Here is a 13,437-nt window from a genome sequence, read left to right on the forward strand (position 1 = left end):
TGAAAAGGCAGTATAAATAATCACTTTTATTACATTTTGGCTTCAAGTATACATGTTTTCAAATATATTCTGCATAAACCACTCTACTACACAATGCAGTATGAGAGTTGCCTCAAAGAAAGCACTTGCGCAATTGTTTGGGTTGTGAGCTGAACTACCTGGGGTTTACACAGAACACTATTTTTACTTGAAAGAATAACTGACTATCTATGGTTTTTCAGTCTTGTTATTTGGTAGGCATTTCCTCAAAAATGAACGAAGTGAGCTTGTTGGGAAGACACTGACAGTGTATGTTGTCCATAATGAAACCCAACCGCTCAAGTGAAAAATTAGAATTTTGTAAGACTTGTATTTGCTACCATAAACTTGAAAGATTATCAACACTTAAAGATGGTTCTGATGAGATTAGTAATGATATTAAGAATTGTGGGCTTTTATCTATATCTTATAATTAGACATTTAACATTTAGAAACTCTGCATAAGAAATATTTTTCAAATGACTGATTCGTGATAGTACAAAATCACATGTGGGTAAAAGCTTAAAGTGCAAAATAGTCCAATAGATTTTAATGTAACAGAGTGAAAAATAAGTTTTATTATGGTTTCAGATTCCATGTTGCAGCTAACCTTAAAGAAATCATCACTTGGTGAGTTTTGGTTTAGTATCAAAGGAGAATATCCACAGTTATCAGAAAAATTCTAAAAGATATCCTTCTTCCCTTTTCAACTATATACCTCTGTGAGGTTATTTTATTTTTTATTTACTTCAATCAAAAAACCCCAACACCACTCTATATTGTATATTAGAATAAACTGAATGTTGAAACAGATACAAGAGACCAAGTGTTTTCTTTTAAGCCAGACATTAAAGAGATTTGCAAAAATGTAAAATAATGCTACTCTTCTAATTAAATATTTTATTTTAAAATATATAATTATTTTTCATAAAATTGCTATTTATGTTAACATCTAACTGGATAGTTATTACATTAAAAATGACTTAATAAGTATATACCTTAACATTTCTCAGTTTAAAATTTTGAATATTGATATTGTTGATATTGATACCTCTATAAACAAAAGCTTTTTGCTGTTCTTAATAATTTATAAAATCTTTTTATTATGAGTTTCTTTAGATGTGCAAAAAAGTTGTAAAAATAGTACAGAGAGTTTTCAAAAATCCTTCTTGCAGCCTCTCACAATGAGAACGTCTTACATAACCATGATATACTTATCCGATCAGTAAATTAACATTACTACAATGCCATTAACAAATAAAAACCCCATTTAAGCTTTACTAGCTTTTCCATTAATGTCTTTTTTTTTTTTGGCTCCAGGAACTGATTCAGAATCCCATATCACATTTTGTTATTACTTTTGCCTGGTCTCCTGCTGTCTGGAACAGTTTTTCAGTCTTCCTTCATTTTCAAGAGTGTGAAAGGATCCCAAGACCAAAAGTCTGGGAACTGCTGGTTTAGAGTCACAATACTGACTGCTCAAAATGACTTTTGTAAGTAAAAGCACTTTTAGTCTGTAGATATACATGAAATTGTACACATCATTTAAAGTATTTTTATTTAAGCAAATTTAAAAATTCTTCCTGTGCTGATACCTTGGCTAATTAATATTAGATGTAGTTCAAAACAAGCTAACGGTTAACCCAGGTAATTCTTGTCTATTTTAAGAATAGACATGTCTAACAATTGTATTTAAAATAATTCCCACCAAAAGACTCATAGCAACTTGGTGATCTAAAGTATGATCTAGCCAGCTGTAAAAATATTACTGACATATCTCTACACGGAATTAACTTACCAGTGAGATTATCATATTTGTGCTTGATCTATTAAGACTGAAGTTTGGCTTTGTCTAAATAAATCTTATTTTAATAAAAGATAAAAAATAAAAAAATAAATTAATAAAAGATTTAATTAATACATCTTATTATTTTTTATGCTTCAAAATATACTGAATCAACAAGTCAGAAAAAAACTGAACATTGACTGGAAACAATTACACATTCGTTTTCCTGGAGACTCTCTCAATGGCTTACACAGGAGTGCATTCTATTTCCAGGTCTGTTTGACACAGCAGCAGAGATGACCTTAGTTTGTACAAACTCATTCCTTATGAAAATATGACAGCTCAGAATTAAGAGAAGGCATATTATATTTTTAAAATTATTCAATAAATTACTTACTTTCAATTATAATGGAACTTTGGTAATGCTAACATTTGACAACTGGCCTAAGAAACTGCCAGATTTTCTATATAAGTTCTTCTTACCTTCAATTCTATAAAACACTATGTCAGCCCAGGGAACTGGACTTTGGTGACACATCTAAATCCTTATAATGACAAGCCTTTAGTATATTATTCCTTTCTTATCGATGCACATACTTTGCTTGTCTTAATGGGTTTCAGCAATAGTTTATTTAATCATTAGAGAAACACAAGTAGAAATTAATATATTTAGTAAAGAAAATATTCTTTTGTAATTATTTTATTGAAGGTTTGATAGTTGGTGTCTAGTATTGTAAAGTTTTGTCTCAGAAAAGGTTTATGGTCTTTTCTCAAAATTTATGAGAGATTTAAGTTAAATAAGTACTATATTGAATATTCTACAACTTCAAAAAATTATTTATGTAAAAACGAATTTGGGATTGTAATGAGGACAGAAGAAGAAAGCTACTTCAGAGTTAATATTACCTTGACAGCAGCTGAATTCCTTAGCAAAAACCTGCAATCAGCAAAGGGTACCAATCACATATACCTAAACTGGGTAGAAGAAATTCAACTTCTGAGATTTTCCTTTTTCTTTTGTTTGCCTGATGTATTAGTCCATTTTTATGCTGCTGATAAAGACATACTCGAGATTGGGAAGAAAAAGAGGTTTAATTGGTCTTACAGTTCCACATGGCTGGGGAGGCCTCAGAATCATGGTGGGAGACTAAAGGCACTTCTTACATAACAGTGGCAAGAGAAAATAAGAAGGATGCAAAAGTGGAAACCCCTGATAAACCCATCAGATCTCGTGAGACTTATTCACTACCACAAGAACAGTATGGGGGAAAGTGCCCCCATGATTCCAATTAACTCCCACTAGGTCCCTCCCACAATACATGGGAATTATGGGAGTACAATTCAAGATGAGATTTGGGTAGGGGCACAGAGCCAAACCACATTGTTCTGCCCCTGGCCCCTCCAAATCTCATGTCCTCACATTTCAAAACCAATCGTGCCTTCCCAACAGTCCCCTAAAGTCTTAACTCATTTCAGCATTAACCCAAAAGTCCACAGTCCAAAGTCTCATCTGAGACAAGGCAAGTCCCTTCAACATATGAGCCTGAAAAATCAAAAGCAAGCTTGTTACTTCCTAGATACAACAGGGGTACAGGTATTGGGTAAACACAGCCATTCCAAAGGGGAGAAACTGGCTAAAACAAAAGGGTTACAGGTACCATGCAAGTCCAAAATCCAGCAGGACAGTCAAATTTTAAAGCTCCAAAATGATCTCCTTTGACTCCGGGTCTCACATTCGGGTCATGCTGATGCAAGAGGTGGGTTCCCATAGTCTTGGGCAGCTCTACCCCTGTGGCTCTGCAGGGTATAGCCCCCTCCCAGCTGCTTTCATGGGCTGGCATTGAGTGTCTGTGGCTTTTCCAGGCACATGGTGCAAGCTGTTGGTGGATCTACCATTCTGGGGTCTGGAGGATGGTGGCCCTCTTCTCACAACTAGGCAGTGCCCCAGTAGGAACTATGCGTGGGGGCTCTGACCCCACATTTCCCTTCTGCTCTTCCCTAGCAGATGTTCTCCATGAGTGCCCCACCCCTGAAACAAACTTTTGCCTGGGCATCCATGCGTTTCCATACATCCTCTGAAATCTAGGCGGAGGTTCCCAAACCCGAATTCTTAACTTCTGTGCACCTACAGGCTCAAGACCACATGGAAGCTGCCAAGGCTTGACGCTTTCACCCTTTGAAGCAACAGCCTGAGCTGTACCTTGGCCCCTTTTAGTCATGGCTGGAGTGGGTGGGACACAGGGCACCAAGTCCCTAGACTTCACACAGCAAGGGGACCCCAGGCCCAGCCCACGAAACCAGAAACCATTTTCTCCTAGGCCTCCAGGCCTGTGAAGGCTGCAGTGAAGACCTCCGACATGCCCTGGAGACATTTTCCCCATTGTCTTGGGGATTAACATTTGGCTCCTCGTTACTTATGCAAATTTCTATATAGGCGGCTGGAATTTCTCCTCAGAAAATGGGATCTTCTTTTCTATCACCTTGTCAGGCTGCAAATTTTCCAAACTTTTACGCTCTGCTTCTCTTATAAAACTGAATGCCCTTAACAACACCCAGGTCACCTCTTGAATGCTTTGGGGCTTAGAAATTTCTTCCACCAGGTACCCATCTTTCTCAAGTTCAAGATTCCACAAATCTCTAGAGCAGGGGCAAAAGGCTGCCAGTCTCTTTGCTAAAACACAACAAGAGTCACCCTTGCTCCAGTTCCCAACAAGTTCTTCATCTCTGTGTGATAACACCTCAGCCTGGACCTTATTGTCCATATCGCTATCAGCATTTTTGTCAAAGCTTTTCAACAAGTCTCTAGGAAGTTCCAAAGATTCCCACATTTTCCTGTCTTCTTCTGAGCCCTCCAAACTGTTCCAACCTCCACCTGTTACCCAGTTCCAAAGGCACTTCCACATTTTCAGGTAACTTTTCTGCAGCGCCCCACTCTGCTGGTACCAGTTTACTGTATTAGTCTGTTTTCACGCTGCTGATAAAAACATACCCGAGACTGGGAAGAAAAAGAGGTTTAATTGGACTTAACAGTTCCACATGGCTGGGGAGGCCTCAGAATCATAGTGGGAGGCTAAAGGCACTTCTTACATGACAGCGGCAGAGAAAATGAGAAAAATGCAAAAGCAGAAACCCCTGATAAACCCGTCAGATCTCGAGAGACTTATTCACTCCCATGAGAACAGTATGGGGGAAAACTGTCCCCATGGTTCAAATTATCTCCCATTGGGTTCCTCCCACAACACATGAGAATTATGGGAATACAATTCAAGATGAGAACTGGGTGGGGACACAGAGCCAAACCATGTCACCTGATGATTGATAAAGAAGGAAAATAGGAAAGTTGAGAGAGAATTATTCTTAATATTTATGTATACAAACTTCAGGAAACCTTTACTAAACTCACATCCAGCTGGTTTGAAACAAAAAAGAATGTGCCTCAGGTGACATCAACTGATCACCTATTCCTTTGACCTAATAGTGCCAAGCACTCTTCTAGTTTCTGAATGATATATATTCTGTCCATTCATACTAGAAAACATTTCTTCAGTGACTGTTACGTGTTAGACAACATACCGGGCAATATGGTTACAAAGATGAAAGAAACTCAGCCTCTGCCCACAAGGAGCTCACAGGTTAATTACAGACACAATCGTACAAACATAACATGGAACTAGCAGTAAAAGACTGAGTTTATACTTAAAGAACTAAGTGCTACAGTCCATTGTAAACTGAGTGATCATGGAAGTCACCAAGGAAGTGCAGCTTCATTTGGACTTTGCAGCAAGGGGTGGTTTTGCATAGTTGGAGGTGGGAAGGCAGAGGTCATTCTAGGTGGGAAGATTAAAGACATGGAAGAAAATATACAAGAAGTGACACAAAGCTAGCTTAGCGAGGGGAGGGTGCTGTACTATATTTTCTCTTCACTGGCTTCCAATTCAAAGACAGTAGTCTTGGTATTGCTAAGATAATTTTGATGGCACTCTACAAAATTAATGTTTCATGCAACTTACAACTCTTATGTATTTCTCCCTGTTATTTCCCTTCTCTTTGAATCTCACTTTCATCTTTTTTTTTTCTCTTGAACTTTTTAGCTTCCATCTATAGTTCCAATAGACATTGTTCAGGTGTATTAATGGCTTTGCTTTTGTAGAAGTTCTTAAGCTCGTTATATCTTCAGGACAGGTGAGAATTGGGAGGGAGGGTGCTGGTAGGTGACTGTGATTAAAAAGTTTCTTCCAAATAAAATTCTTAACCTTTAGCACCTGATATATTCCTCAAAAGAAAAATTTAATCTTTTCTTAAGGCTTATATTGTAAAAAATATGGTCTTTGTAGTATACGAAAAAATTGATATCTCTTTTTAAGAGACCACTTAACCAAGCCAAATATCATGGTGAATAGTCAAAGAAAAACAAGATTTGATTGTGATGTCAATTTTAGAAAATGAAACTGTATATTATGCAATGTATTATAATTCCATCTATATGTTAACTCTTAACATGACTCAGAATGAATCAAAGATTAATTTTGATTGGTGTAAATTTTCAGAAAAATTAATATGTTAAGATATTATCATTTTCATTTCATCTTTGACTGTGTAGTGTAATTAAAAAGTCATTTGTCCTGAACATCAATCTCTAATCCCTTGTTAGTCATCATTCTTGTTTCTTTATCACTCTGTCCATTTTCTCTAGACTGTTCACTAGTCTAACTTTCCTAAGCATTGATTTGTGAAAGTTTCTGTGTATGTTTCATGCAATCTTCCAATTTTAATTTCTCTATGCAAGTGATTTGCATGGCATTATCAGATGTCCCAAATCAATAAGAGACAGATGCCCAAAGGTATCACTAAACACTAGAGTCATCTAGGAAGTAGTGTGAATTTATTAGTGAATGTTTTCAGATTAGGATTTCTTTTGCTTATGTGTGCAACACCAGACTAGAAGGCACACACAGAATGAATAGTTGGATAACAAGGTGACCTTTCTGCCTATGTATGGAAGCTCCCAAGTAAGTGTACTTAGTTCCATTTTGGGGATTCATTTTAGGCATCTTCAGAGCTCTGTTTGCTTGGGCAGGTAGACACACCATTGATGCAGGGAGAGATTTGAACTGATGGATCCTCTCCTAACCTGTCAGAACACCATGCTTCTCTGCTTAGTTGTGGCTGAGGGATGATACTTAAAAAAAAACAACATGCATCTTTTTATTTATTTATTTGACAAATAAAAATTGTGCATGTTTATTGTGTACAACATGATGTTTTGAAATATGCATACGTTTAGGAATGACTAAATCAAGTTAATAACATATGTTTACATATGCATTACAAGATATCATTGCATTACAATATGCAATTTGTACATACCCAAAATTGTATATCTATGTTTTTTAAAATCAGAAACTTTTTCATGAAAAGTGAACTGATTTTATGATATTGTTTTAGATTAAGATTTTTTAAAAAGTATTCGTCTTTTTTGTTGTTGTTTGTGTAAGTTCCAATTTGTATTTTAATGGAAATACTGACAAAAGCTGTTTTTCATATAATACAGTCATATTTTGTAGTCATCTGTTTGGTTTTACTATTTAAAAGCATCACTTGTATCAACTTCCCCCAAATATATAATTTTAAAAAACATCTTTTATTTTAAGATAACGATACTATTTTGTTATGAAAATAGGACAGATTCATTAATAGAAAATGTAAAAAATACAGGAAAGTGGGGGAAACATCACCAGAACAACTACTGACATTTCTAATATTTTCTTTCAGTTTCTCCCTATGCTAAATAGATTTTACATATTTCAAATCAAACTGCAGATGATATTATACTTTCCTTTTTTCTCCTTATAGTAAAGAAGAAAGCCTTAAAAACCCTTGAGTGAATGGTTGGTATTTACAGACAAGCAAATGTATGGAAGAGAAACGAGAGACCCAGCCTGAATCTGTTGAATGAACGAAAGGGGAAATGCCCTAAGGAGTCAGATGGAAGAAGTTTTTCTGGGAAGAGCAGAACACAGGAGTTGGGGTGCAGACCTCCTGGATCACCAGCAGAAGGAAAAGAGCAGTGAGACGTTAAAGTGATTGAGACAAAAATGGAAGTAAAACAGCTTAAGGCTTTCTGAGATCGAGTTCCTGGCAGTGTCATCAGCAGATGGTTTCTTCTGAAGTTCAGGGGAAGAGAAGATGCTCGAAGAACTCTCCAGGGACTGAGTGGGTGGTACAGAGCTAGTGCTGTAGATGCCATGTATACAGGCAAATTCCCCAATGAGTGTTTTCCAATATCAAGTTTAACTGGCATTTAAGATATATGCCAAAGGTAGGTAAATTATTTTGGCCTGTGCTTATAGGTTTATTTCCCTGGATGAAGCTTTCTGTCTCTGTCCTAGTGCACTGTAGCAGATGCAGGGTCTTTCCATACAATACATTAAAAGCTGCATCTCATTTTAAATATATTATAGAAACCCTGATCATACAATACATACAAGATTTTTAAGATCAGCCTTCAGTCGATTTTTTTGCTTTATTTTTGTTCTGGAGGTCAAAATGAGTGGTTAACTGTCTAAGTTGATTGCAGAGAAAGTTACTACTCATTCTAAACGTAGGTTTTTAGAAAAGTGTTCTTGGCAGTTGCTACCATTGGCTTTTTCCAACTTACATGGGAATCAAGATTCAGAACTGGTACACCAATGGGAAGAGCCTGGAAAATAGACTATTGATCAAGATGAATCTGGTCCAGATACTTTAAGACCTTTTCAGTGTGTTTTTAAGATTATAAGTTTGAACTAACAGAAACTTCAATGCTGTTTTTTCACAAGTCAATGTGTAGTGTACTGTTATTCTTTTTTTTCCTGTAATATCTTAATAATATTCCTGGCTGTAAGAAAAAGTTAACACTATACCTATGTTTTGACTTACTTTATAGAAGACCCAAACAATATTTAACAAAAGGATTTTTCTCAAATACTATTTTGAAATCACTATATTAGACACTATCTTAAATTTATTTCTCAATTTGCTTCTTTTTGAAACTTCCACATTTTGGTGTTCTTTTCAGCATCACTCATTTTCTTTCATAATAAAGATACCCAATAACAATATCATAATAAAGATTTGATAACAAATCTCCAGTTTTGGAGTGTTACATTTCATATCTACATGCTTACAGAGAATTTAGTATGAATATTCCCTGGCCTTAGTTCCTCTAAGCCTAGGATACTTGTAGTCATTTGGCAAATAATTTAATCCATGGCAAACATGAGTCTTAATACAAAAATTATTGAGTAGGCAAAAAATAATTGAACATATTTTGGACTGATTACCAGTGCATTAAAAAAGTAGAGGTTTAAGGATGAGAATAATAAGTTTTTTTGTTTTTACTTAAATTTATATAAAAGGAGTGAAAATACAGTAGCCTATAGTACTTAAGAGTGTGGGTATATTTTCAGCACTTAATAATTACTAGTTGAATTGCATAATATGGGACTATAACTGATATGGTTTGGCTCTGTGTCCCCGCCCAAATCTCATGTTGAATTATAATTTCCAATATTGGAGGAGGTACCTAGTGGGAGGTGACTGGATCATTGGGGGAAATTTCCCCCTTGCTGTCCTCATGATAGTGAGTGAGTTCTCACAAGATCTGATGGTTTAAAAGTGTGTGGCATTTCCCCCTTTACTCTTTCTCTCTCCTGCTGGCCATGAGAATAAGTGCTTGCTTCCCATTCACCTTCTGCCATGCTTGTGTTTCCTGAGGCTTCCCAGCCATGCTTCTTGTTCAAGCTGCAGAACTGTGAGTCAATTAAACCTCATTTCTTCATAAATTACCCAGTCTCAGCTCTTTATGGGAGTGTGAGAATGGACTAATAAAATATCTCTAGAATTATGTTTTTGGAGATAATTTAAAGATAAACAAATATTGGAAACCTCATTTGATCACACAGAGAACAGTAAATGGAAGTTCTACTTTTTCTCCAGGGCCTTTCTCATGCTTATGCAGGGATTATTCACCCAGATATCCTGAAATAAGACATCCAATTAAGGTACCTGCTATCTCATGTAACACAGAAGAAAGTTGAGCATAGAGGTTAAACATTACCTAATATTGTTGGAAAAGCTTCGAAGCGTTCATTTTCAAAGCAGCTAATGTAAACCATGATAATCACTAGTAGCACTATGCCATTTTAAATACTTCAATATTTTGTAGTTATTAGATTCTAAGTAAGTATAAAATGTAGTGAATACAAATTTTATTTGCCTAAACAGTGTTAGACAATATAAATTAACGAGTTATTTTTTATTCTGTTTAATATTTTCAAGCCAATAAACACTTTACTAAAGTATAAAGTAGCTATTCATTATTACTCTGTGTCTTATGTTTATGATGTTAGAAATGAGTAGAGATGGTTAGCTGCCTGGGTATCTGTTGAAAATTCTGCTTAAACTATGTATTATAAAGTTCTGTACATTTCAATGATTTCTTGGAGATTCACTGTCTAGTTCAGTTATAAGTAATTTATAATTCTAACATTAGTCAAAACATTTGTGGGAAATGCGCCTTGACAGTTATAACTTGACCATGAAAACTGCTTTTTAAGGCCTTAATTAGAAAGGTCAGCCTGCATTATTTAAACCCTTCTTATGTATTCTTTGTATGCAATTCTATTTTCCAGTGACTGCAGGGGATTAAAAGAAAATTCTCACAAAAGCAAACAATAATTTTGGAAAATATTTATAACTGGACACAATCTGTAGAACTCTCCTTGCTTTGTCTCATTTGTAATAAGTTTCTAGCTCAGCATTTGATGGCTAATTCAGGAGTTGTTGGTGTTGGGCAGGGTGACCTGTTGAGTCTGATGGTTGTGATTTCTATTGTTATGGTTTCCTTTTAATTTAATTTGGTCTTGAAGTCTGTCATGAGACTGGCCATAAGCCAGGATAGCCACTCTCCAGGAGAGCCCTGACCAGTGGAAAGTTAAATTTGGGTGTGTGTGTCAGGTGAGACACAATGAGGAAGTAAAACCAAAATGTATGAAACAGAAGAAATTTATTACTAATAGGACCAGAGAGGCAAGGGATGCTGATGGGAGGACTGCAAGAAGCCCAGAGGCAACAGGGAGCTCAACACATGGATGCTGGGGAAGAGAGAGAGAGAAAGAGAAAGAGAGGAACCGGTGGGACTATGCGGTTCTTAAGGTCCACGGGCATTATTCCTTAGGCTTTTGCGTGGCGGTTGTGGATTGGCTAGTTTAAAGAAAACACAGCAAAGGGAGAACTTATTTACATAACTCTGGTGTTAATCATGTGTTTTATTGTAGTTAGCAGATGTGGTGTGTGTTGGATTTTGGGCCAATAAGAGGAGGAACAAGCAGGCTATGTTGTAAACAACCACTATGGGGAGGGGAAGTTTTAATTTAACCAAAGTGATGGGGTTGGACTAGGTTTCAAACAACTTATGTCAGGTCTAAAACTGAATGCTGAGGCAGCAACTATATTAAACAAATTTATGACAGTGATGCTGGCATCACTTACTGCTTTTAGTTCAACCCTGCAACAGGTTTTCAAACATGACCATTTTGCTTTCTTATGCTTGCAAATTAGAAACATCATTAAATAGGCTACATAAAAAATAAGATTTTTAAGAAATATTTTCTAAGCAGAATGGCCAATGTCATTGATAGATATAAAATAATGACCATGCTTATTCTCTTTCATTATTTGATCAGCATATTCAGGTATATTATTCAACACACTTAGTCATAAAGTTCTTGAAGCATCTTTTTGTTCCTCATAGTTCATATTTTCTTGCACTTCTTAATCTATGGTTAATGAACAAAAGCATGCACACACAATTCTTTTAAAATAAATGTAGTCTGTGGGAAGTTTTAGATAATCCAGGGATTTTTAAGTAATTGAGAGCTTTGAAAAGAATACTTTAGAAGTCAAACCTTTTGGCCTCAGTTTGTAGCAAGGAAACAAACAACAAAATGTAAGCTCTATATGAAAGAGACACAAATAGAAAACAAGGGAATCCTTAATATAAAGAGGACTCAAGTCAGTTAAAAAAAAAGTCATATTTCTTTCTTAAGTTCAATAATTCAGTATTCATAAGAGATATATCTCCCTCCACCCCCATGACCCTCACACATACATGCTGCTTTTTAGCATTAACAATGAACTTTATTATAATTAACTTATTCTATGTGTGTGTAAAATTAGTGCCAGGTCTGAAATGAACTCTAAGTCTCTGCATCCTCGCCCCTGTTCTTTGGAATTACTGAGGGACTATGAGCTATTGCACCATGAGGGGAAAATATAAAGGTCAATTTATTAATGTGTGTCTGCATATATCTTATTGTTATTTGCAAGTCTTAATGCTAAGCAGTCACTTCAAGTTTTATAGGATGTAATCTGGTACTTGTAAATAAAACTCAGAGTTCTCAAAAGAAAATCATAAAAGTAGCATATTGCAATCAAAGAGCAGATGTCTTGTGATGTCAAGCTGAATATTTATGGTCTTGCTCTAAGCCAATCTCTGAAACTGACAACAAATTACAAATTATTTGAATATCTAAAAGAGAATAATTTCATTAGAAAGGTGTTAAAAACTTTGCTTTGCAAACAAACAAACAAACAAAAAACAAATAGATTTTTAGTTCTAAGAAAAAGGAAAAAAACCCACACAATACTGAAATAGAAAAATTCAACAATGTATTCAAGAGTTTCTGATTACTAGTAATGAGTGACCCAGAACAACTAGATTAGACTTCTTTTAATTAGATTGTGGTAAGTATTCCAACATACCTGAAAGATGAAAAAAATATTCTTAATTTGATTCTTGCTAATTTAAATTCTCAACCAAATTAACTTTAGTGATTAAATTTCACACGTAAAAATGTTTAACATCTTATTTCTTAGTTGGCCTTGGAAGTGTTTCTAGATTATTCTGGCTCTTCTGCAGAAGGTCTCAAAAAGAAATGTGGTAATTTATCTTCTGTAGTCAAACATGTCACTTTTGCTTTTTATAATGAGGCAGAAGGGATACTGTTATTCACCATATTTCTGCTATGTTAAGATTTGGAAGTTAATTGGGGAGAACCATAAATAAGGTCATCAAAATCCAAATGCTTCAGTGAAACTTGAGCCCCCTCGACAACATTCCTAAAGTGTTGTTATTTTGTCTTTGCGGGATATTCCAGTGACATGTTAATCTGATCCATCTTCAGAGGGTTGTATCATTCAAAGTTTACTTCCTGATATGGTTTGGCTTTGTCCCCACTCAAATCTCATCTTGAATTGTAGCCGCCATAATCCCCATGTGTCATGGGAGGGACTCTGTGGGAGGTAATTGAATCATGGGGCCGGGTTTTTCCCATGCTGTTCTCATGATAGTGAATAAGTCTCATGAGATTTGATGGTTTTATAAAAGACGTTCCCCTACACATGCTCCCTTGCCTGCTGCCATGTAAGATATGTCTTTGCTCTTCCTTCACCTTCCACCTTGATTGTGAGGCCTCCCCAGCCATGTGGAACTGAGTCCATTAAACCTCTTTTTCTTAATAAATTATCCAGTTTTGGGTACATCCTTACAGCAGTGTGAGAACAAACTAATCCACTCACTTAAAAGAACTTTG

The 13,437-nt window shown here is 35.7% G+C and overlaps 1 long non-coding RNA gene across 5 annotated transcripts in view; it reads left to right on the top strand.

The window, feature by feature from the left end:
• LOC105370259 (uncharacterized) overlaps positions 1-10,146 on the top strand; it is a 120,734-nt gene extending 110,588 nt beyond the window's left edge. For 2 of the 5 annotated variants that reach the window (NR_187793.1, NR_187796.1), the window contains 3 exons: positions 610-648; positions 1,339-1,511; positions 7,658-10,146. This is a non-coding gene — a long non-coding RNA (uncharacterized LOC105370259). The remainder of the gene's footprint in view (positions 1-609; positions 649-1,338; positions 1,512-7,657) is intronic. The other 3 variants (NR_187795.1, NR_187797.1, NR_187794.1) reach the window with 2 other exon arrangements.
• The last annotated feature ends 3,291 nt before the right edge of the window (positions 10,147-13,437 follow it).

The sequence above is a fragment of the Homo sapiens genome, chromosome 13, assembly GCF_000001405.40.
Source record: "Homo sapiens chromosome 13, GRCh38.p14 Primary Assembly".
Taxonomy (NCBI): Eukaryota; Metazoa; Chordata; class Mammalia; order Primates; family Hominidae; genus Homo; species Homo sapiens.